This window comes from Homo sapiens, chromosome 8 (genome assembly GCF_000001405.40).
Source record: "Homo sapiens chromosome 8, GRCh38.p14 Primary Assembly".
Lineage (NCBI taxonomy): Eukaryota > Metazoa > Chordata > Mammalia > Primates > Hominidae > Homo > Homo sapiens.
Window position 1 is genome coordinate 64,613,004 of NC_000008.11, and position 26,660 is coordinate 64,639,663.

The following is a 26,660-nucleotide window of genomic DNA, read 5'->3' on the forward strand; positions in this document are numbered from 1 at the left end:
TTCTATCTTTTGAAAGAAAAAAATACACACTATTTTCTAGATCACAAACAGCCCCATCATTTTAAATTCTCGTAATGAACAACACTGGCCTCTGCTGGTAACCAAGGTCGTGATGAACCATCCAGGCTGCTGAAGGTACTGCCTTTATCCAGGTGGATCTAAACTTGCTTGGGATTTTTATTGTTTTTATTCATTTGTCAATGATAGGAGACTTGTCAATTTATGAGGGATCCAACAGTGAAAATCTCTAGCTCTAGCTATGGGCTTAAATGGATTCAAATTATAGTTCTAGAATCTGCCATTTTTTCTGGTCTAATAAATTTAAATGTTTCTGCTTTAATACTGAAATTTAAAAATGATTTTTTAATAGCAAAAAGTTGAAAGTAAAAAGAGTGGATGAATTACAACTACATTTTTTAAGAGTAATAACTATACAGAATACAAACACATATTCCTTTTAGTGTATTTGCCTTACTTCCCAGTATGCGTCATCTTATTCATAAAATGCAATGGAAACTGCTTGAATGTATGGGAAATGCAACCTAGATCTTCATAGAAATTACAAATATGCCAGAAAATACTGTGTATCCAAGTGGAGCAACTACCCAAAATTTTACACAAATTTTCTGAATTTGTTCCCCAATAATTCTGCAAAGAAAAATAAAAGAATATTTGTATTTTAGTAATGTTGAGATTTTTTTAAAAGAAAATATAAAATTTATTTGATAACCTATGCTAAAGACACAAACTACAAACTTCCAAATTGACTGCTAGTATAAGGCATGCTTTCTGGCATTGTCTCAATGGGCCTTAGCCTGAGAAGTGAGAACAATCTCTAGAACACTTGGGGCATTTTCCTCAATGGCCACTGAGGGTGAACATTGACCAAACCTGGGAGGACTTTTGCTCCTGAAAGGTCCCATTAAAGAACCTGGAACATATTTAAAAGATAAAAAATTGAGACCAACATAGGCTAAAATGCTCGCCTACATTGTCAAAGGAATAAAGAAACAGAAATATGTGAACATTTGTTCCTGCGTTTGTCTAAAGAAACTTGGAATATTGTACCCTAAAGGATACCGCAGGATGAAATGTCAATACAGAGAGAATAGAGAATAACTCATTGGTATGGAATTTAACTTTGGCAGTAGAAGTTCAGTCAGGGAATGGTAGTGAACAGCCTTCTCAAAGTAGTAAAGGGGAACGAAATCTTTAATTTGCAGCGTGCTAATTAAACGAAATCTGCTGCGATTAAAAGCTCCAGTCATTGAGGTACAGACCTATGTAGAAATAGAAAAAAACCTTAGTCACTACCAACCTCAAACATACTTGAAATAGTGACCATGTATATCTCATGAGTCGGTGAGTATTTTATAAAATATCAATGTTTCACAGGAATAGTTTGTAGTTGTTGCTTTTCCTTTTCTTTTTCTCCCTTTCTCTCTTCCTTCCTTCCCTCTGTCCCTCCTCCGTTTCTTCTTTTCTATTTTTTCCCTCTTTTCCTTTTTTGTGGGTTTAAATCACGAACTTCCAATGGAAAACTGTTTTCTGTGTTTTTGAGAATCACACACTCCATAAAACGTCTAACCTGTGTTTGAAAATATAGACATCATTTTAGGGAAGAAATACAATTTGCACACAGGGTGCCTTTTTTGCAATACTTTCCTTTTCAATCCCTAAATACTTCTTGACAAGATGGTGCAGCAGTGTTGGAAAGCATTAGCACATCAACAGATGCTCAGAATCAAATGATTTAATAGGCATAAACTTTTTTTCAAATAATTGTAAAGCTTTGGTTTAGCCTTTTGCATACCTTGCACAGTTAATTACCTAGGCCTTAATGTTTACATGCAATGAGAGTATCTACGGCTATAAACTACATAATTTATAATTGATGTAAATGGGTGTTATTATGTCAATTAGGCAGCTGTGTCCTCTACCTCTTGGTAAACAGCTATGAGTGATAAACCGAGTTTGCAGAGAGGTACCTTCTTTTCTTCATAACAGATAAAAATAAATTACCTAGGCAGATTAGGCTGTCCAATTGTTCTCTGGTGAGGTGGATGGGAAATCCAGACCCTTTCTTTTGACCTGTTGACTGCAGCAAACGGTCAATTTCGTCACGCACTGCTGCCATAGCTTCTGGGTGCCGCAGAAGATAATACATTGCCCAGAACATAGTTGGAATAGTGTTTGCCACAGAGGCCCAGAGAAAGCCTAAATGATGTGCTGGGAGAAAATAAGTGAAAAGGAAGATTAATAGCGTTTATTACACTGATTAGATTTGCAGTGTGCTAATTAAAAGATGTTAGGACACAGACCCAGCCAAGGATCAGTGCATGCTAATGAGAACCAATAGGCTTCTGAAGTCTAATTTTCTGCTTAATGAGAATAGTTTAAAATGTAATGTGTATGGGGGGGGCGGTGTGGTGGGGGATGAGATAAGAGGAGTAAATGCAGCTTAGTTATACTCTTTCTCATTATCACCATTAAGTATCTTGTTTTACCACCTCAGCAAAAAAAAAAAAAATATCAATTATAGAGGGTTATATCAGAGTAAAACATTTTATCATTAGCCAATTAGAAAGAGCATAAAAAATTTTCAAGGTCGCCATTTTGTCTTTTTATTTCAGAGGTCTATTGTAAATGATTTTATTTTAGGCAAGTGCTCATTCAGAAGTTCTTACCTCCTATTTCAAGGTCCTCGTGCACATAATATTTCTCCAGGACATCTTGCCTGCTTTGAAAAACTTCTGACCATCCTTGCATCTTGGCTAACTTTTCTGATGAGAAGCATTTTATAATTTTCTCTCTAATAGACTTGACATTTCCTAGAAGCTCAATGGGTATGTTGGATACTAAATATGCAAACTTGTCATCAAATTTTAAAAAATCATCTCTTAGCTCACTAATAAATTTGTTGTTGTCACAAACAATAACTTTTCCATATATAGTTGTAAATGTGATCTCAAATATTATTGAGCTGCAGAATGGATACAGTTCTGCCGTGTCCCAACTTGTGGTTTTTAACAGCTGGGGTTCAAAAACTTGTTTTAGATTCTGCATCATGCTTTCCAAGAGTATGTCCAAAGATTTGCCTTGCAAAAATTGATAGCAGAGGTGAAGCTCATCATTCATGTCATGATTTTTTTGCAACTGACTGATGCTAAATGCTTTCTCTAATAATTTATTAGAAAATACTCGAAAGCTTAATTGTTTATGATTTTTTATCACTAGCTGGTACTGGAAGGGGTCCAGGATAAATGTTATGTACTTTCCTAGAAAAAAAAAAAGAGAGAGAAAATATGAGTTCGTTTGTTAATAAAACAGAAATAAACACCACAAATTAAAAAATATGTTAATCAAAATTAGAAAGACCCTAATAACTAAGGCAAAAAGTTTAATACAAATCCATTTCATTCGAAGGTACACTACATGTTTCCTTTGAAAGATGGTGGAAAACACTCTAGAAACGTGAAGTTAAATATCCTGAAGTTCTTACTAACCTTTGCAAAGATGGTTTACTCTTCCAATTTTTATTTTAACTAAAGTACCTGAACACTTTAAATATCCTTTAAATATTCTCATAATCCCCTGACTTAAATACTTCTCATATATTTCCCTCAATAAAGCAGAAAACAAATTGGCAACATGCCATTCCATTTCTGAGTATTTATACTTCATAAAGAGCTTTTTCATGCTTAGGTGTCATCTGAGTTTTGTTCAAATACAACAATTTTAACTCAAATAAATGACCATACTGTATGGAGCAGGTACTCACAAATAAATGTCTAATTCAACACTGGCAAAAATCCACTAATGCCAGCATTTTCACTTTTATGGATGTGGGAGATTTAATAACATGTTCAAGGTCACATATTGACTTGTGACTGACACAGGATTCCAAACTAGAACACATCCATTCATCCATTCCTTCAGGAAGTCATTCACCATTCACCACATTTATTAAGATCTGGAAACTTGGTTGGATCCCTTTCTTTTTGAGATACAATTATGTATAGAAATCATTGCATCCCTATGGATTGTGATACGGCAGGGGTGAAACACAGCATAAGGAAAGCAGAAAGTAGAGTCTGCTTCAGTCAGCCTGGAGTTATCACCAAGGTCTCTTTGAGGTGATGACATTTACCTTTTCAACATATCAGTGTTGCCCAAACTTATCAATTTAAAAACTTGGGATGCTTGCGAAAAATACAGATTCCTGCAAGATTTTGATTCAGAAGGCTTGGAGGGGGTCCTACCAGTGTCCTTTTCGATGAGGTCCTCAAGTGATTCTTATAAGGATGCACCTTGAAGGACACAGTCTACTATAGTCTGTCTCTCAAAATTGGCAGAGACCTTGGAGAATTGCTTGTTTACCATCTGCATTTATCAGTTGATAAAGCTGAAGAAAGTCAAGAGATGTTACGGGTCAAGATCATGCTGCCATTTTCAGTGGTAGACCCTTGATGAGAAGTTACTCACCATGCACTATTCTTTGTCTTCTCACTAGAGTGCTGTTTTAAGATTCCTTCTAATTAGAAATATTAAGCAGATAGTAATAAATAATGACATTTAATGTCTTTCCTGTACAGAACAGGCATAAACTTTAGATGATCCTAAAAACGTTAACATCTACTTATTTATTGTCTTCATGTCATTATTCCTGTTTGTGTCTGTGTGTCTGTGTGTGTGTGTGTTGCTCTGTTAGCGGAACAACTTCTCACTTGTTATTTATGGTAACTCAAACGGCATCATAGAAATTTAATTCAATTTGGTGCAAGATATTTCAAATAAAGTTTTGAAATAATTTTCAACCTCATCCTAGAAACAGATAAATATGTTTTTGTTTCACAATTTTGAAACACAAGTTTTTAATATACATGAATATACATGTGCTATGATTTATTTTCTAAAAATGACTCAGATGACTTAAATTTTATTCACTCATTTTCCCCTTGATTAATTCAATAATGTGAGTGGATCTAGGATGCCAGTAAAGCTAGAAGTGGCTATTCATTCTGGTCAGATCCCAAAGCTGTCTTCTACAAGGTAAACTAAATTTGTGTGTGTGTATGTGCTCTGGGGAGAGCAAAAAGGATTCAACCCAATTTAGGCATATTTTATGACACCTGCTTTACCATCACAGCTTAATTAAATAAAATTGCCAGCATCTGCCTGTCAAATAATTGAAAAAAATCAATTTTCTTATTTTGCAAAAGATATAATTTTAGGCAAAGTTGTGTATTTTCACAGGTGGTGATTCATACTTTTCTCCTTTCACTAAATAAAAGGATTTTGCTAAATATCTTTGGGGTTATTTTAAATTATTCCCTAATATTACCAGAGTGTATAAAAGATTCAGTTAGTAAAACACACAATATTTAGAGAATATTTTGAATTTTTTCCTACAATTTTCTATATTCATCTAAATCTAAATGGAAACAGAAAATATATTCAGACATGACAGCATGAGCTACCTGTTATTGGGCCTACTGAAGTAGAGGCTGTACACATGTTACAATTTTTGTTTTGTCTACAATCATTACAAATACACACATTCATTTTCTCTCTCTCTCTCTCTCTTTCTCTCTCTCTCTCTCCCTCTCTCCCTCTGTCTCTCTATTTCCTCCTCTCTCCTATCCCCATCCTCTTGGGAATAAGGGTATGGGAAAAAACAATGAGGTTAATTTCAAATAAAAGGAATAAAAGTTGAATGTGGACAAAATGGTTCAAGTTAGCAACCAATTACTAATAAATTGTTTTTAAAAATATAAGCAGTTGTTTGTATATCAGTTCTTTATAAAAATCAGTACTGTTAACTTCATTTGTTTGTAGATCTAATCTCACTCCTTTCAAGGCTCTTTTCAGTCTAGGATCTGTATTTTCTCTTTCTCATTCTTATTTCAGTGTCCTTCAATATCAAGGCATTGTGTTTTACCTACTATCTTTTTTATTGAGATGTGAATTGGTTCAGAAGAAGATGTTTTGATTTTCCGGATTTTACTTTTCATGTGGGTTTGGAAGTACTAATAACCCTGGAGATGTTAGCTGGCTTTCCAACTTTTAATCTTCAGTATAAACAATTTAAGCTAAGTTTTCCAAAATTAATATTAATTTAAACCATCTGTCCACCATCTGCTAATGTGAGATGCAAAACCAGAGTTTCTTTGTGATCTTTAATCAGACAGTTAGGAAAACTCATATACATTCATAAAATGAATTTAAATTTCTTAACAAAGGAAATCTTCTGAAAAGGTATTCTGAAGGCCGTGTATTCTTGCAGCAACATTAACTTTTGCTCCAGGGTGATTTTATGTAAATGAATGGCCAGTGTCAGCAGGCATGTTACCTAGTTTACAAAGATCACAAGGTAAAAACAATACCCTTTGCCATGTTTTCCAAAGAGAAGAGAATGCTGTCAGCAGTTGATATGAAATATTGATTTAAAGAATTTCAAAGTCTGCATTTGTCTAAAATATAAATGTCAAAGTGGGGCTGATATCTGCAAGAAAAATACAATATAAATCATTCTTAGATGCAGTAAATTTGAAGTCAGCTCCAAATTTTTGATATCTTCCTTGCCAATCATTTCATTCTCTTCCCTTTTTAGGAGCTAACTGGCCTTACAATATTAACTGTAGCATTCCTGTATAAGCTGCATAAGAGACTTTACCACCTCAGTAGCCTTTCCACTTCCGTTAAAATTAATTCTTTAGGAAGGTAAAGCTACATAATTCAAAGTATGTTGGTAAATGTATTTTAAAAATTCAGTCATTCACCCTAATGTCAAACAAAAAGTTTTGACATCTGGGTCATTATAAATTGAATTTTGGTGTTTTCATTTTATATATTTGGTGCTATACAAAGATATAGATATATATACATATATCCATGAGAATTGGCTGCTTGGCATAGAAATGTCCTGTAAAAAAAATATAACCAAGGCCAGAGGATCATTTGAGGCCAGGAGTTCAAGACCAACCTGGGCAACATAGGGAGACCCCACCTCTGCAAAAAACCTTAAAAAAAATTAGCCAGGTGTGGTGGCACACACCTGTGGTCCCAGCTACTCAGGAAGCCAAGGTGGGATGATCACTTGAACTCAGGAATTTAAGGTTGCAGTGAATTATGATTATGCTACTGCACTCCAGCCTGGGTGACAAAAGGAGAACCTATCTCTAAAAAAAGAAGAGACAAATTTGAATTTTAACAATTTTCATAATTAGAAGCTTTTCATCTCTGTGTTTAGGTTGTTTTACAATAGAAGTTTTTAATCTCAAGCTGAAAATATCGGTTGGAAGAGTGAAATATGAGTCAACTTTGTACTTTATGAGGATGGCCACATGTACATATCCCCCCGCTTATTAGGAAGATTTCACTAGCTGCTGACAATGATGTACAGTGGTGCTTTGCTGGGGTGACATCTAGGGAAAACGATTCCACTGCACCACCACACAAAACCAATTAGAGAACTATTTTCTGCGACAGGTCAAGAATTTACATGGTTTCTCATGAAAAGATGTACTTTTTAATTTCTTTATTAAGATGACATCCGTGTCCCTTGAGACTTTTGGGGATGACAATCATTTGCTCATCATGCAAGAACATATACTCAGTGAAATCACATTATGAGACAAGAGCGGAAGACTTTGTTCTTCATTTCACATTTTCTAAATGAGCTACTTTGCAAACTGATCACTAGAACCATATACATTAACAGGATTTCTTGACAGGAATTTATTCAAATTCTAGTAAGAAGCAAAAGGGAGGTATCGTGCACATTTAACTGGTTGTCTACTGTTGAGTTCAAACATAACCATGGTCAAATTATTCAGATGTTAGAAATTCAGCAAGCTTCTTGGTACCTAAGATTAAGAAATCAAGCATCAGCAGAAATTGGCTATTTTTTTGAAAAGTGAATAAAGTGATTCAAATCTGCCACAACTTTCTGCATAATCATCTTAGGTTATTTTTGTACATTGGTATTAAAAAAAGAAAAACTGAACATTTCAATCACTTGTTCTATCTATTCATTAGAAACACCAGTGTTAATTATTTAAAGTAAGAATGACTCTTTTTAAGTGAACAATATAGTTTTGGTACCATAAAGCCCAAGGCTCACTTAGAGGAGAAGCACCAGCTCAGGCTTTTATCTGTACAGTATTCCAGTGTTTCATCAGCTCTAAGAAATTAGGGGCTTCCCCATCCAATATTCGTTGAGAATCAGTTCTGAGCTCTAGACTAAATGTTGACAATAGAGAAGCTAACAGAATAATGAAGGGAGACAGATAAGTCAGTTGGTAATAACTTCACAATGTATTAAATGCTCCTACAGAAGTGATACTGGGAGTAACTCGACCCTGGAGAAGAGGCACCAAATATAGGAGGAGTCAGCAAAGGCTCTTGAGAGGAAGCAATGTGTGACTCTGGCCTCAAAAGTTGAGTCCATGTCAGTCAGGTAAACAATAACATTCTGGCAGAAAGAACAGCAAGATAAAGAAAACCCAGAGGCCCCACCAGGTATGGCGTGTGAGGAGGAAATTTCAAACAACATGGTGCATTCATGGTGTGTGAAGCACAAGGCGAGCAGCAGCAAGAGACTGAGCTGGAAAGGCTGGTGGAGACCTGATCTTGGGGAGCCTCATGAGGACTACTGTATATAATATAATTCCTCTAAGATGCATGATTTTTTTCCATTTCAATTTTTCTGAAATCAGAATGCATACAATTTTTTTTTTTTTTTTTTTTTAGATGGAGTCTCGTTCTGTCAACAGGCTGGAGTGCAGTGGTACGATCTCGGCTCACTGCAACCTCCGCCTCCCGGGTTCAAGCGATTCTCTGGCCTCAGCCTCCCAAGTAGCTGGGACTACAGGCACATGCCACCATGCCCAGCTAATTTTTGTATTTTTTTTTTTTTTAGTAGAGATGAGGTTTCACCATGCTGGCCAGGATGGTCTCGAATTCCTACCTCGTGATCCACCCGCCTCAGACTGGCCAGCTTCCAGGCAAAGGAGTAAGTTGTGATGAAACTGATACTGTCTGTCCATGGGAGAACTCAATCATGCTGATAATTTCCTCCAGTTGGATCATTTCTCCCAAATACTGCATTAAAATACATTATTTGAATAATAATGCATAAAATGCATTATTTGCATAATACTGCATAAAATGCATTATTTGCATAATACTGCATAAAATGCATTATTTGCATAATAAAGCATTGAAATTAAGTCACTGTAGTTTCCAAAGGTTGCCTCTGACCCTCAGCAAAGTAGTTACAGGCAGAAAAAAATTACTGGCTCTCTAAGAATAGAACATAAACTTCCAAGGCTGGTTGAAGGAAGATGTAAGGGTTGAGCTAAGAAAAAGGCATGCATGTAGATGATTTAGATAAAGAACTAGAAGGGGGAGTATAGAGAGTAAAGGAGTAGCAGAGTATTTCAGGAAGGAACAAGAGATCAGCATTGTCAAACCAGGTAGAGAGGTCTAGGTAGGTGGACCAGGGAATAACTTCAGCAAGGCTGAAGTCTGGTTATAGTTAGGAGGGCTCTGGGAGATATGCAACTAGAGATAGCAAATATATGCAACTCTCTTGAAAGAGCTGAATGCAAAAGAAAAGAAGAAAAGTGGAAAGTAACTAGAGGGGAACCTTAAGCATGGTTATAAGTGATGGTAAGAGCCCAAGAAAGAAAAAAATGAAGATGCATGTGTGAGAGGAATGAATCTAGATGTACCAGTCCAGAGGCGGCAAGAAGAAAGGGTCATGGGGACAGGGAGATGGAGTGTCTTGAACATTCTTTGAAATTGGAGAAAACATGGTAAATCATTGAGAAACGTAGGTACATTTGGTAGATACATGGGGATCTAAGGGAGATTATACTGGATCTTCAGTTACCTTGTGAAGGAAGGAGAGTGAACTGTGTTACCAGAGCCCCAGTGAGAGTGGGGAGTGAGACTCAGCCTCTTCTTTTCCTGCCACTGGCAACACTCAACAAGCAAAGGAGTGTGGGTAATCTAGTGTGTAGAGATCAGCTTACAGAGCACAGACAGGACATGCAAAAGCAAAGAGAGGGAATAGCTAGCCCAGGCCATAAACTGATGTTGAAGATTGTATACAAAGATAGCTATGATGTATTCCTTCCATCTCTCTACATGTGCCCCCATGCAATGTGACTCTGCTACTCCTTCCAGGAAGAGGTGGAGTCTCTTTCCCTGCCCTTGATTCTGGACTGCACTGTGACTTGGTCTAACTAATAGGATGTGGTGGAAGTAAGGTTTTGCAATATCTGAGCCTAGGCCTCAAGAGACCTTGAAGCTTTTTCTCTCACTCCCTTGAGACACTAACTGCCATGTAAGAAACTTTTCTTGAGGATGAAAGACCGTGTGGAAAGGCAGCCCACCCAGGTATGTGATGAGACCATCTCGGATCATCCAGTTCCCATCCAGAGTCCAGAAAAGCCACACAAGTGACTCAGGCCAGACCAGTTGTTATTTTAAACCATTAAACTTTTTGGGGATTTGTTACTCAGCAATCAATAGCTGATACAGCTACATAGTTTGGGTCTTAAAAAATGTTGTGAACTAGTAACAGTCTAGCTTCTCCTCCCAGTCCTAGAATGTTTGGGGTGTGTAGCAATTCTGCTGTTTTTTTCTTCATTTTTCTTGGTGTTTTGGTACTTTATTAAAGTCTGAAGTGCAATGAAAGTTTTAAAATGAAAAATACATTCTTGACCAGTGGTTGCTGGAGACTCAGAGGCAGGGGAAGAAGAATGAATAGGTGGAGCACAGGAAATTTTTAGAAGAGTACAGCTACTCCATATGATACTGTGATGGTGGATACATGTCATTATACATTTGTGAAAACCCAACGAACTACACAATACAAAGAGTACACTGTAATGTAAATCATGGATTTTTAATGATTGATCAATATTGGTTCATCAGTTGTAACAAATATACTACATAGATACAATCAGGGAAACTGTGATTGGGGGGAGGGGGTATATGGGAACTCTCTGAACTACTAAATTTTCTGTAAACCTAAAACTCCTCTACAAATAAAGAGCATTAATTTAAAAAATACATTCTAGCTTTTGTATAGTTATATATATATATTTTTTTTTCTACCATTCTTAAAACCAAACTAAACCAAACCAAAATGACAGGTGATGGCTGGAAAGAAGGGTTCCCTAAGTACCATGAAGAGAGTTCTATAATTTGATTTTTAATGTGAGGATCACTGAACTAAAAATAATAGTTTTCTTTCACATTAGCTCTACAAAATAAAATAAAAATATACAAATATTCTACATTTTGCCTAGAGAAAAACAGAAAGACATTAAAGAACAAGTGAAAAATGATGACATATATAAGGTATTAATAGAAGTGCTTCTTACCACCAAGAAGAACTGTGAAAGTGTCACCATGTTGCTTTTGAAGTGTTTTCATGAACCTTAAGGGGTCTTTTCGTAAGTTCAGGACCACTCCAAGATAAGGAAGCCAACCTTTTATCAATGGAGGCTCACCGGGTCTCCTACAAGGAAAAAAAAAAAGATAAAAGAACAAAAGAAAAATCAAATCATTCTTATTCGAATACAGGTGGTTTATTTACTGAATCTAGAAGGTGACTGCATGGATTGCACTGCTTCTTTCTATTCTCTTACTCAGTGATTCTTATATAATCATAGACATGAGTTTACTGAGCTTCTCCAGTATGTATGGATAAATGCATAACTTCTGGTGAGCAACTTTATTTCAACAGTTTTTGGGGATCAGGTGGTTTTTCGTTACATGGATAAGTTCTTTAGTTGTGATTTCTGAGATTTTGGTTTACCCATCACCCGAGCAATGTAACTGTACCCAATATGTAGTCTTTTATCCCTCATCCCATCCCACCCTTCCCCCTGGGTACCCCCACTGAGTCCCCAAAGTCCATTATATCATTCTTTTTTTTTTTTTTTTTTTTTTTTTTTTTTTTTTTTTTTTGAGACGGAGTCTCGCTCTGTCACCCAGGCTGGAGTGCACTGGTGCGATCTCGGCTCACTGCAAGCTGCGCCTCCCGGGTTCACGCCATTCTCCCGCCTCAGCCTCCCAAGTAGCTGGGACTACAGGCGCCTGCCACCACACCCGGCTAATTTTTTGTATTTTTAGTAGAGAGGGGGTTTCACCGTGTTAGCCAGGATGGCCTTGATCTCCTGACCTCTTGATCTGCCCAACTCGGCCTCCCGAAGTGCTGGCATTACAGGCGTGAGCCACCGCGCCCAGCCTATTATATCATTCGTACGCCTTTGCATCCTGGTGAGCAATTTTTTGAAGGAATTGTGTCTTGCAAGGCCTGGATGACTGCCTGATAGTTAAGTTACAATCTGTTTTATTTATTTCCTATTCTGTTTCCCGTCATCATAGGTAGGTACCTGTGACTAAGGAGATCTCCGGGAAACTAAATCAACTGTTTGATATAATTTACTCTATGAAATTGTTAGTTATAATATCGATAAAAAACAAATGATCAGCTGCCTGATTTTATTGGTCTTTCACAAGTCATGTTATAAATGCTGCTTGATCAGTTTCATCAATGAGACCTAAACTTAGTTTTGACTAATATTTATGTTATCTGCTATGTGCTTGGTGATGTGCAGTGGAACAGGCCAAATCTGAGTTCTAGTCAAACTGCTTGTCAGAAATCACCTAAACAATGTCAATTACTGATTATTTTGTTTTCTATACAGCACAGTGTTTTTATATGTGTAGACTCAGTCAAACTAACCCCACCTCATTTTAAATTCCAACTCATGTATAGGCATTTAGGTCTTTCCACAAATAAAGGCTATGAGGGTTTCTTTCTTTCTTTTTTTTTTAAATCTTAAAAAACCTTCGATTATATTCTTATATAATAAAGGTATAGAGGGATGATGCATTATGGGATTTGAAGTTTTTTAAGCCACTTAAGTCTACTTAACATAGTAAATGGAGATGTGTTCTTTAGGATATGCAAGTCATATTCAAGTATTTGTTGTGAAATTTTTCACTGAATTGATTTATCACCGAGTTTAGAACTAGATGGCACCTTGGAGACTTTCATGCAATTTCTCATTTTTATAGGTAAGAGTTCTCAAGGCCTAAGAGATCAACAAGTTTCCTTAAAGTCATGAAACTATGTAAGGACAAGCTGTGTACCAGGATGCAAGACTTGGAGTCCCACAGCTGCTCTCTGGCCCCTTTAGAAACATTAGTCAGTTAACCTGTGGACCTAGGGAAAAAAAACCACCAAAGCAGCTCACTGCCAGAGCTGACAGACATTGTGTGTGTGAACCTGAGGGCTCTTGCTGTGCCCTGGGTTTTAGAAGTTGGAAAGTTTAGCTGCCAGAGTAAAGCTCTTTGTTATCAGATGTCAATTAGACTGGAAATACATAATCAGAAGAGAAATAATAATCTTAAATTGAGAACTATAAAAATCTCCATATTATGTATTTGAGGTATTATTTTGATTTAGTCTTTCATAAAGTTTTTTATTCAAGCTACCAATGATTGAGACGATTTGTTAAATTTTACTAATAATTTGCATTTTTTAACATACAAAAAATCCTTTGGAATACTATCAGTTAAAAAACAAGTTTTTTCTTTGTTGATTTGTAATCTTAGCAAGATTATACTTCAAAATGTCTTCCTAGTTATTTATTTGGTGAACTCAATCTGATTTAAAGTAAAAAAGGTAAAAAGAAACAAAAACAGAAAACAAAGCCATTTTATCCTAGAAAGGATTAAAACAGATATTTAAAAGAACTCTGATTCTGAAAGCCCATCTGTGAAGACGACTTGTGCTACATGCAGTGCAACTCATTTTGATTAATCACAAGATATTACTAGCTCAGATTTAATCAAAGATCAAGATTATGATCATACCCAGCATGGACTTTTATGTAGCTAGATTAACCATATCAGAGGCTTTTATTTTCCCACAATCCAACATGGTAGAATTTCACTTTGAAAATAAAACTCAGATCTTTCAGGGGAAAGAATGTCAAAATAAATCCAAGTTATGATAGAAATAAAGGAAAGATTTTGCTTTCTCTTTTTAGAAGACAATTTATCTTAATGCTAATTTACAAAATGTATACTGTTGTTTAAATGCACATACTTAGAAATAGGAAAACAAGAAACACTGCATAGAGATGGGAATCTTACTCATTATACTTTCTCCCATTATTTTCTTGAATGCAGGCTTTAGCAATGGAGACTTGCTTTTATGAGAAATATAAGAAAACCAAAAAAACCATTAATACAGTTAATTCCATATCCAAAGATTGAACAAGAGGAGACCACGCATGTAACTGTAGAGTAGGATCCCCAAGTTACAAACTGCCACAGCTCACATGCTATCAATGACCCTTTCAAATTTGCAAGTGATCTAGTTCACCAAATTTCTTTTCAAAATATTAACTCTCTTCCTTGGTCTACTTATACTCTGTTTGGTTTAATGTTGCTTGAATGTTGCATTTTGACAAAGATTTAGAAAAGCTTTTTGTCATATTCTAATTTAAAGCAACTAATTTCATCCTCTATGCTCTGTTATTTGGTCAAAAGCTGTATTCTTCATGGGGTTTCCGCCAGGGGAAAGGATAGGGCTCAGAAATCCAGGGGATATTAACTTAACATTCAGAGTTAGGGAAGCACATTAGGAAGCTATTTTATTGTTACAAAGATGAGAGGGTCATCATTTCTTACAGCTGTGTTTATTTTGGCAGCAGTAAGCTTAAGACTATTAAACACCATGTCACAACTGTGCATATTTTCAGGAAAAAATATAGTGCTTGTTCAACTTATGACCCATTGAAGATAGATAACAGAAATCTGTCTTCATCAGTATATTTGTAAAAATTATTTAGGGAGGAAAGACATCACCATAATGATCGAGAAAGGCCTGATGACACACAGCACAGTGCAAATACTGCTATTTGTCTCTCTCATGCTCTGTGACTTTGAAAATGAAATACACACTGCCCATGGCTGAGTAGGGATATAGGATGCTTGTTGGGGTTGATCAAGTTTCAAAACTTAAATGAAATAGGTCCAAAAGCAATGATGGGGAGCTAACAAATACTATGTTCCCTACTCCCTCATAATCTCAAACAATATACATTTCCTCAAATCTTCTCATTACCGTTTAAAAAACTATAAGAACACATCTAAGACATCACACAAATTTGAGCTTATACAGGCTCTTGATAACTAAACCCAAGTTCTATGCAAGTACCATTGCATCAGTGCTTACAGTTTCTTTCATACAAGTTGTAGGGCACATCTTAAAGTGTGTGCAAAATGTCATCTACAGTCCAAAGTTATCTGGAAACAAATTTTGGAGACGGGGAGTGGTGGTTCATGCCTGTAATCCCAACACTTTGGGAGGCTGAGGGCAGGTCACTTGAGGCTAGGAGTTGGAGACCAGCCTGATCAACACAGTCAAAACCTTTCTCTACTAAAACTGCAAAAAATTTAGCTGGGCAGGGTAAAGCTTGCCTGTAATCCCAGCTACTCAAGAGGCTGAGGTACAAGAATCACTTAAACCCAGGAGGCAGAGGTTGCAGTGAGCCAAGATCGCACCACTGCATTCTAGTCTAGGCAACAGAGCAAGACTCTGTCTCAAATAAAATAAAATAAAATAAAATATAAAATAAAACAAAATGAAATAAATAAAATGAAATACTGGAGAAGAATCTAAATACATAAAATGGATGTAAAGTGTAAAGAGGTTTAAGACATTTCTCTTTAGTTAAGAAGAGGTACTCTGAAATTTAAAAGAGTAGACCAACACAGAATATTTAATTTCCCATAATATTTGAAGTTCATCTTCATGCTATACCTGTAGTTAAATAAACATGTTAAAAACTTGACTAGTGACCTATTGCACATTTTTTCCCCTCAACATTTAAAGCCCATCGCTGCCGGGCACAGTGGCTCACGCCTGTAATCCCAGCACTTTGGGAGGCTGAGGTGGGCGGATCATGACGTCAAGAGTTCGAGACCAGCCTGGCCAACATAGTGAAACCCCGTCTCAACTAAAAATACAAATAATTAGCCAGGCATGGTGGTGGGCACCTGTAATCCCAGCTACTCGGGAGGCTGAGGCAGGAGAATCGCTTGAACCTGTGAAGCAGAGGTTGCAGTGAGCTGAGACTGTGCCATTGCACTCCAGCTCGGGTGACAGTGTGAGAATCCATCTCAAAAAAAAAAAAAAAAAAAAAGTCCAGCGCTTCTTACAGCAATCTATACTTATCAGAGTAATTTCTTCTTTTCCACTTTTCCTGTAATCATTCTAGGCTAGGCGTTCAGGTTATTGCAATAACCTCCTAAGTAGGTGGTGAGCAACCTTTATACATGCACACTAACTAGAAAAAATAAAATTACGTATTTATTAAAAGTGCTTAAAGATGTAATATATTTGTATTAGGTGACCGAATATATGTAACAGTGCCTTAGTTTTATTTTTTTATTTTCCTGAATTAATGAAGATTTTCTTTTTGTGTATGTGGTTAAAATTTCAGAAACTACACAACTGATATACATTACAGTATCTGATGATAATTCTGAATGTTTGAACGACTTTTTTTTTTTGAGCAAGGCACTTTGGAAGCTGCTGTGTTTTACCGTTCTTTGACTTACTTTGGCAGCAACCTCAATGGAAAATGTAATTTGCTTCATAGTACCTCTTGGAACTGAATTCTTGAAACACTCTTTATCCCCGCACACTTCTTGGGCTCTGATGTTAGCACAAGGAAACTTAGAAATGTTCTAACAACTCTTGATAATCAAGAATTGCATGTTTGTCAGGATATCGGGAAGAGGAGTATCTCAATACAAGGCTGTGGATGGGAGATCCCAAAGGAGGAGGAGATGGAAGATGTGGCTGAGTCTAGGGAGACCAGAAGCCCCAGTGAGAGGCCTGGTGGGGACAAGGAAGCACAAGGCCACAATGTATTGCTCTGCCAGGAAATGAGGTGAGATTTACAACCAACTGGGCACATTTTAGCAATGAACGCAAAGGTGGAGGGCTATACCCAAAGATATCTGAGAAGGCACCCTGGGGAAGCCAAAGAGGACCAATAGGAACATTTGCACAACAGGACTCATCAGATCAACAGAAAGGAAGTGGGGGGAAAGAGTCTTACATTTTATTAAATAGTTTTACAAAAGAGACTAGGTTTTAAACTAGAAGTGGCCAGACTATTGTCACTGGAAGTCTTCAGTGTTTTCAGTCATCACCAGAAATCAGGGCTCAAGAGAAATTTGAGTTCAGATATGAAGAAATAAAGTTACATTTCTGTACATCTGACTCATGGGGAAATTTTAAATCTGGCCCACTATCTATGTAGATCCTCAGTGTCTTCACCTGTAAAGGAGAATGTTTATACTAACCTTGGTGGTTTATCATTCAGACTGAGATAAGAGTATTTGAAAGTAGCTGACATACACAGCAGGATTAGTTTTTCCTTGCTATTCATATTTTGCAAGCAATTGCATATCTGTGGTTTTGCTTACTCATTCTCTGCCTGAACTGTTTCTTTTGTCAACTCTCTCTGCTTATCTATACCTTTCAAGGAGTTGCCCAGGTCTGAAGGCCCTCTTCATCCTTCAACACATCAGTTAAGTAAAACTGCCAAATGCCCAGATAAACACGAACTCAGTAACTTCAGATGAGCAGGCAAAAATATGCTATGCAAAGAGCTTTCTCAGAAAATGAACTATCTTTGTTTAGAAGCAAAGTTTCATTGGATGTTTGATAATTTCGATGTGGTCCACTGGGCATGACCTGCTTTAAGAGATAATGAGATTGTTCTATAGAAGAAGTGAACAAGAATGTGGGGGTTGGGACGTTAAAGAGAAAGAGAAAGAAGAAAAGAAGTGGCAGGACAGAGGAATAGTGAGACTGCATCATGGTAAGCTGGGACTCTCTAAGGAGGACAGTGACCTGGGAAAAACTTCAGGCCCAGATAGTCTCATTGGTGAATTCCATCAAACATTAACATTAATCTCTTGTAGAAAATAGAAGCAGAGGGAGCATGTCCTAACTCATTCCATGAGGCCAGCATTACCCTAATTCCAAAACCAGACAAAGACATTATAAGCATTACAAGAAAGGAAAATTGCAGACCAATACCTCTTATAAACATAGATGCACAAATTCTCAATAAAATAATTATCAATTGAATCCAACAATGTATAATAATTATACACCATGAGCAAGTGGAATTTACGCCAGGTATGCAAGGCTGGTTCAACATTCAAAAATGAATTAATGTAATCCATTGCACCAACAGGCTAAAGAAAAAAAATCATCTGCTCATATCAATAAAGAAAAAAATGTTTGACAAAATCCAGTACCCCTTTATCTTATACTACCTACAAAAATAAACTCAAAATGGAAAAAAGACTTAAATGCAAGACCCAAAACTGTAAAACTCCTAGAAGAAAATATGAGGAAAGAGCTCCTTAATGTTGGTCTTGGTAATGATTTCATGGATATGACACCAAAAGCATGGGCAACAGAACCGAAAATAAACTGGCGAGACTAAATCAAATGGAAAAACTTCTGCATAGCAAAAGAAACAACTGACAGAGTCAAAAGAAAACCTACAGAATGGAAGAAAATATTTGTGAACCACATATTTGATAAAAGGTTAATGTTTTGAAAAATAAGGAACTCCTAAAACTCAACAGTAAAAATCCTAATAACCCAATTAAAAAATGGGCTAAGGACTTAAACAGATATTTCTCTAAAGAAGACATGTAAGTAGCCAACAGGTATTGAAAAAATGCCAATGTCACTAATGATCAGGGAAATGCAAATTAAATTCACAATGAGATAGCACCTCATACCTGTCAGGATGACTATTATCCAAAAAAACAAAGACAACAAGTGTTGCTAAGGATGTGGAGAAGTGAGAACCCTTGTACACTATTGGTGGGACTCCAAAATGGTGCAGCTGCTATGAAGAACAGTATGAAGCTTCTTCAAGAAATTAAAAATAGAATTACCATATGATCTAGTAATTATATAATCCACTTCTGGATATTTATCGAAAAGAATGAAATCAGGATCTGGAAGAAATATTAGCATTCTAGTGTTCTTGAAGGGCTATTCACAATAGCTAACATGTGGAACCAACCTAAATGTCCACTGACACATGAATGGATAAGGAAAATTTGGTATAAACATACAATGCAATACTATCCAGCCTTAAAAAAGGAAATTCTGCAATATGAAGCAACACAGATAAACGCGGAGGACATTATCCTAAATGAAATAAGCCAAGTACAGAAAACAAACACTACATGATTCCACTTATGTGAGATATCTACGATAGCCAATTTCATAAAACAAAGAGTGAAATTGTTGTTACTAGGGGCTGGGGAGAGGGAGGAAATGGGGAGTTTCTAATCAGCAGGTATAAAGTTTCAGTTAAGCAAGATGAATTAGCTCTAGAGAGCTGCTGCTGTACAACATTGTATGTATAGTCAACAGTAATGTACTGTACACCTCAAAATTTATTAAGAGTAGATCTCATGTTAAGTGTTCCTACCACAATAAAATAAACAAAAAATCTTAAGGGATCAACCAATGTAAAAAAAAATCCAGCACCCATTCATGATAAAACTCCTAGCACAATAGAAACAGAGGTGAACTTCCTCTACTTCATAAGTAACATCTACAAAAAAATCTACAGCTTACATCATACTTATTGGTGAGAAAGTAGGTGCTTTCCCATTAAGATCAGAAACAAGGCAATAATGTCCCTCTCATCACTGCTATCCAATATCATTCTGGAAGTCCTAGCTAATGCAGTAAGATAGAAAATGAAATTTAAAAATATACAAATGGAGAAGAAAGAAAGGAAGATGAAAAGAAAAGAACTGCCATCGACAGAAAGGAAGGGGGGCGGGGAGAGAGTCTTAAATTTTATTAAATAGTTTTACAAAAGGGACTAGGTTTTAAACCAGAAGTGACCAGACTATTGTCACTGGAAGTCTTCAGTGTTTTCAGTCATCACCAGAAATCAGGGCTCAAGAGAAATTTGAGTTCAGATATGAAGAAATAAATTTACATTTCTGCACATTTGACTCATGGGGAAATTTTAAATCCGGTACACTATCTATGTAGATCCTCAGTGTCTTCACCTGTAAAGGAGAATGTTGATACCAACCTTGGTGGTTTATCATTCAGACTGAGATAAGAGTATTTGAAAGTAGCTGATATACACAGCAGGATTAGTTTTTCCCTGCTATTCATATTTTGTAAGCAATTGCACATCTGTGGTTTTGCTTACTCATTCTTTGTCTACATAGAAAATCTCAAAGAATCAGTAACAACAAAATTTTAGACCTAATGAAGTACTACAGTAAAGTTGCAAGGTACAAGATTAATATACAAAAGTCAATTGCTTTGTTATATAACTGCAATGAACAATTGGTATTTGAAATTAGAAACACAATACTACTTACATTAATCAAAACAAAATATACAAAGTTAACTTAGTGAAAAAATTTATTCTTAGGTATAAATCCAACAAAATATGTATAAAATCTATATAAAGAAAACTATACAACTCTGATTAAAAATCAAAGAAGATCTGAAATAGAGAGATATTCTATGCACATGGATAGGAAGAGTCAATATTGTCAAGTCAGTTCTCAACTTGATTTACAGATTCAATGCAATCCCAATCAAAATTCTAGTAAGATGTTTTATGGATATCAACAAACTGATTCTGAAGTTTATATGGAAAGGCAAAAGACAATATTGAAGGAGAAGAACAAAGTGGAAAGACTTATACTACCTGATGTTAAGACTTAATATAAAACCATAAGAAACAAGAGAGTGTGGTATTGATGAAAGAATAGACAAACATATTAATGGAACAGAACAGAGAGCCTAGAAATTGACCCACACAAATATAGACAACTGATTTTTACAAAGTAGTTGCAAAATGCAAAGAGAAAAGTCTGGTATATGTTACTTTAAGATGTTAGTAGTCATTAATCTCAGGTGGTGAGATTACAAAGGTTTGATCTTTGATATCTTTTGATTTGCACATGACATAAACATACTGCTTTTGAAGAGTAGTTGTCATTTATTTTGTAGAATGGCCCTCCATTTGGGTTGGGTTGTCTGATATTTTTCATGGTTAGATTGAGGTATTAATAATAACATTTTGAGAAATAATTCTACAGAAGTGATATGTCCTTTTAGGTGCATATTTTTAAATAATAAAGAAATGCTATTTTGGGGCTGGGTGTGGTGGCTCACACCTGCAATCCCAGCACCTTGGGAAGGCAAGGTGGGCAGATCACCTGAGGTCAGGAATTCGAAGCCAGCCTGGCCAACATGGTGAAACCCCATTTCTATGAAAAATACATAAAAAAAAAAAATTCGCCGGGCATGGTGGCACACACCTGTATTCCCAGCTACTCAGGAGACTGAGGCAGGAGAATCGCTTGAACCTGGGAGATGGAGGTTCCAGTGAACCGAGATTGCGCCACTGCACTCCAGCCTGAGCAATGGAGCAAGACTCCATCTCAAAAAAGAAAAAAAAAAAAAAGAAAGAAATGCTATGTTGGTGTTAAAAGTGAAATCCATGTACAGAAGGCACTGCCTTCTAAAAAGTAGTTGATGACAAAAAGTACAGTCTACAAATGAATCAAAGGTTGATTTTTTTAAAAAAGCTCAACATTCCTAAGTCAATTAAGTGGAGAATCAGCCTGAAATTCACCATGAGGACAAGCAGAACCTACCTGAACTGTACTCCAAAAATGAAGAGTAGACACTGAGGTTTAGCTGCTCTAACTGTACAAAGTATGGACACACAGTGCAACCTAAGGATACCCCATTACTTTCACCAGTGTCCAGGTGACATGCAAATGAGGCAGGCAGAATCGGTTCCTTTGACAACCTCAGCAGGGAGAAAGGCTTTTCACAGTTGCAGTGCAGCTGTTGGACTTGACAACTGAAGGTCCTGATGGTCTCTTCAAGGTTCTACTCGAAGCAAGAAACATGTGACACACAGCACACAGTGTCTACTTCCTTGCCAAACTCAAGAGCATCTCACGGGTACAGTTAGGAATTAGGTCAATTTTCCCCTTGTTGAGTAAAGTTATCTGCTTAATATTTGTTTACTGCAAGAATCAGACTGATGTAATCTCTTCTCAGGATGAACATTAATCCAACTCTGTCTAGAAAAATTATGCAATTCATTACCCCAAGTAATCTCTATTGTCCCCTGTGCTTAACCTTCATTTTTTCCCCAGTCCTATAATCTTGCAAATCTACTGGTGGTATGTGATTGACATCTGGTGTTCACACACCCTCTGCTTCACAGCAAATAAATGAAAAATTCCTGTATAAAATGTCACTTCCAGGCTATCAATAATGCAGCTCTCTGTTCTTTGGTAACTTCTGCACCAGTCTAGAAAGGTCTGTTATCTTTAGTCTAGTGACCACTCTAGAACGGTCTGTAAGAATAAAGAAGCCTCTTACTCTGAAACGTTTTGACTCTATCAGGATAGCATTTGACTTAAAACTTGATTTAATTTTCCTGCAAAGATATTCACTGTTCAAGCACTTTTAATCAAAGCTTTACAAATAATGGCAATGTAAAAGCAAGTAATGCTGAATAGTCACATATTTCTCCATGGAATTTCTCAGGTGAATTCAGAGCAAAATCAACATGAATATGATGAAATGTATTTTCACCCTCCAGAGCATAACTCTTCAAGCCATATACCAGCTGAATCTTTAGCTGTCAGTTCATCTATGTAATTTTGTGATCCAAATAAAGCTTTGTCTGTAGAATGTGCCTTGTAAACTCGATTCTATTAGCAGAATTATATTAATACTAATGCCTTGATCAAGTGAGTGATTTGTAAGTGCTTCTTTGTATCTATGTAAGATTTCAACCAGAGAAGTCTAGAACTTTGTTGTTGTTGTTGTTTCTAATCTGGGAGGGGTGCTTAGGTTTGCACCATGGAAATAATGTCAAGGTAGAGTTTTAAAACTATCATTTAAAACTTAATTGAGTTTCGAGCAGGCCCCACAAACGATGAATGACCACACCACTCAAGTGCCTTTCTCTATTAACTTAACCCTGGATTAGCAGGGTTCTAGGGTTCTAACCCTCATCCTTTCTCATGTGCATGACTGCAATAGCCTCCTGGCTAATGTCACTACCCAGAACGAGGGTGCTGTAGTCTCACTGTGTGGCTCAGCTCCCAGGCTCTGCCAACTCCTACCTTGGTAACTTTGGTCCATTTAATTATATTTGCCTCCGGTTCCTCATTTGTAAAATGAATACCCTATGGTATTTTCCTTATGTGAGAATTTAATAAATTGATGAATATAAAAAACTGAACACAATGACTCACACAGTAAGCATCAAAAATGTTAGTTACTATTATTGTTATTATTTATTATATTATCTCTGTACCAATACCTGGGATCATCTAAAATACAAATCTAATCATGGCTCTCTCCTGACCCTTTTTTCCTGAACATTTTCAATAAAGTACTAATTTTAAAGATTTTTTCATTCACTTGACCACTTTCTTTATTTGCCTAATTTAGATTTTATTTTAGGGCTGCCATATATGATATGCTGGTCACAGATGAGGCACCAGAATAACCTGCCTGCTCTGAAAGAAACTCTAACATTCTAGGCTTTGTATTCTCTAAGCAAACAAACTCAGGGGAACAGAAGTGGCTCTGAAGTGCACTGGATCTTAGGAGAAAGCGAGTCAAAAATGTTTCAACGGCCTAGACAATCTGAAAGGGGGAAGTCGATTCATAACTGAAGTTATTTCAGCCCCTTAATTAAAATAGAAAACCATGCAACTAAATTTGTAATTTCTGAGATGATCAGTTGTTAATTTACTTTACAGATGGGATTTGATTGGACTCCATGGAAGAGATATCAATTCCATTAACTCATAATTTCTTTCATTTGATTTTGAAATGTTTAATAAAAAATTAGAACCCACAGTTTTGTGGAAACTAAATTATTACAGAGGACTAGCCCAGAAAGCCTTGGTAATGACAATATACAGATCAATGAGAATGATGTATAAATGCATAGTCAAGTTAACAAATGACGTTTTATCAACCCCTGTCAATGGAGAAACAAAGTTCCAAATTCTGCAGATCAACACCAAAATAATCAAGCACAGCTTATCACAATCACAGAAAAGACATTTCAAGGATACTCTAGTTTACTGAAGTGGGAAGATAATGAAAAGCCTGAGGCCCCATATGCTATACCTGCTTCATAATATGTTAACTCATGCCCATATTTTAATATTGGATAAACTATTAACATAGCAAAAACTAATAATATCTCTACACAGCACACGGTGCTGAGAAGGGCAGTGTTTTGGTGTTGTCATGAGCTACAGGGCTTTACAACTGGGAAAATAACATTCTTTTCCAAAGATCAGTTCCTGACTTTGGTGATTTTAAGTCACTGCATGAATAGTGTATGATTACTTCAGGAAATCCATCATCACCAGTATTAGAACATGGGACATAGAAGGCACAGCATCATATTTATATACAGAAATCATTATAGTTTGCAAATTGTCAAATTCTATTATAGATAACCTCTTACATATTTTAGACATCTTAATTCTTGCAGTGTCCTTTGCTTAGGCTACCCCATCTTGTCTGTACCCTCCCACATGTTTTGTGAAATAAACTTTCAATGTTTACACCATTTTCATTATTTAGATAGCGTTCAATTGCTTTGTTTTTGCACGTGCCTCATTTCTATGTACTCATCACTAATTCTTATCAATTTCCTTCAGTGCTCTCTAAATTCTCAATATGGTCAGACATATGGTCCTGTAATTTTCATATAGCTCCTCTCCTATTTTCCATCACTTTATCTTTTGCTCCACTTACTGACAGATTTTCCTGACTTTATCCCTTTCATAGATTATTTTATTTCTACTTTTAGATTTCTAATTTCCCAAAGTTCTCTTATACTCTCCGATTATACCTTATGAAAACTGCATGTCATTCTTGATTCATAAATGCAATTTCTACTCTTATTTTTCTAAGACTATTAAACATAGTTTCTTGGGATTTTTTTTTTCATGTTCCTTGAATTGTCTATTTTCTCCAAGTCTCTTTGTTTCAGTTTTTAAAGTTATGCTTTCTCTTTTTCATGATGGCGACTTTCCTCACTAGCTCCAGATCCTTAGCATCCATTCATATTTGCAATAAGGCTGTGTGTGTGTTTGCAGGGCTGGTGGACTTTCTTCCATGGTGGCTGGAAGGGAATCTTGTTTTGATGAGCTACCTCTCTTTTGTAGTTAAATGAATGAGATTTTGTTTATGTTAATTTTGCTTTGAGGACTTTGAAATAGAGCATGGTATACAAATATACAGTAGTATATTTCCTACAAAGAGTTAACATTAACCAATTTTGAATTTTTCTTTATAGTTTTTTGGAGACTGTTGCTGAAGTCATTTGGAGTAACATTTGTAGGTAGAATATTTTTGAGTTTATTTCCATTTGTGGAGATAAGAATAGACAGAAGATATCAGGCCAGGTTGGCATTAGAAGTCAGGAATGAAGGAAAGATGATGTCCTCTATAGTTATACAAGTTGTTAGTTACAATTCCAGGGTGGAGTAAGGGATTTTATTATTTCACTGTGTTGTTCCCAAAACTACTCCAACACTCGCGTAAGTGATACTAATTTGTTTCAGGGGCTGGGAGGATTAGGAATAACTGGCAGAGAGAACCTAGGGCAAAGAAATATGCTACTTTTGTGTATGTGTGTGTGTGTGTGTGCCTGTGTGTGTGCATGAACATGTATATGTATTTTAAATTGGGACCTAGAAAAAGTGATGCCAAGGTCAGTAACTCATTAATTCCTTCCACAAACCACCCTTTAGAAGGCAGATGTCTTAACTCACAGTAGAATAGGAAGCATTAAAAACAAGGGTTCTAGTGTCTCTCTCTCCTTCTGGTTCCTCAGATACTTCCTCTTCTCTCCTCAGAAATAGCTGGATTTTCACAGACTTTTATACATCTATAGAAGGTGTTTTTTTTCCTTCTCTATAAATAGGACACAAACTAAGAAAACAGAAGCTACTGTTAGATTTGTAAAAAAAAAAATTTACCATTTTGATAGCTTACAGATAAGTCCTCAAAATACTCTTAATTATTGTCAATGAACATTTAAAAATTATTCTGTTTCTTGTCCAACGTTAAAAATTCCACTCAGTTATTGCAACAGGATTTTACTTCAAAGCATTGGTATGAAAGAATTAAGTAGTGTATATATATTGAAATATATAGATGCTGATGGCAGGGAAAGTCCCCTAAAACTTAGGGGTGAACATATAGAGAAGCCTTATAACTATAGGGAGACAAACAATCTGATTTAAAAAATGGGCAAGAGGTTTGAATAAACATTTCACCAAAAAGATAGACATAGGCACATGAAAAGATGTTCAACATCACAAGTCTTTAGATATATGCAAATTATAAACTAAAATGAGATACTACTATACACCCACCACAGTGGCTAAAATAAAAAAAAGAATGACTATTATCAGGTGTTAGCAAGGATGAGGAGAAACTGGAACTCTCATACAGGGCTGGCGGG

The 26,660-nt window shown here is 36.2% G+C and overlaps 1 protein-coding gene across 3 annotated transcripts in view; it reads right to left on the minus strand.

Moving 5' to 3' along the window:
- Nucleotides 1–26,660, minus strand: part of CYP7B1 (cytochrome P450 family 7 subfamily B member 1) — a 212,163-nt gene that overhangs the window by 26,429 nt on the left and 159,074 nt on the right. For all 3 annotated transcript variants that reach the window (NM_001324112.2, NM_004820.5, XM_017014002.2), the window contains 3 exons: nt 11,400–11,536; nt 2,688–3,278; nt 2,023–2,229 (listed from right to left, as the gene is read on the minus strand). In NM_001324112.2, coding sequence (NP_001311041.1) covers nt 2,023–2,229; nt 2,688–3,278; nt 11,400–11,536 — 935 coding nt within the window. The remainder of the gene's footprint in view (nt 1–2,022; nt 2,230–2,687; nt 3,279–11,399; nt 11,537–26,660) is intronic.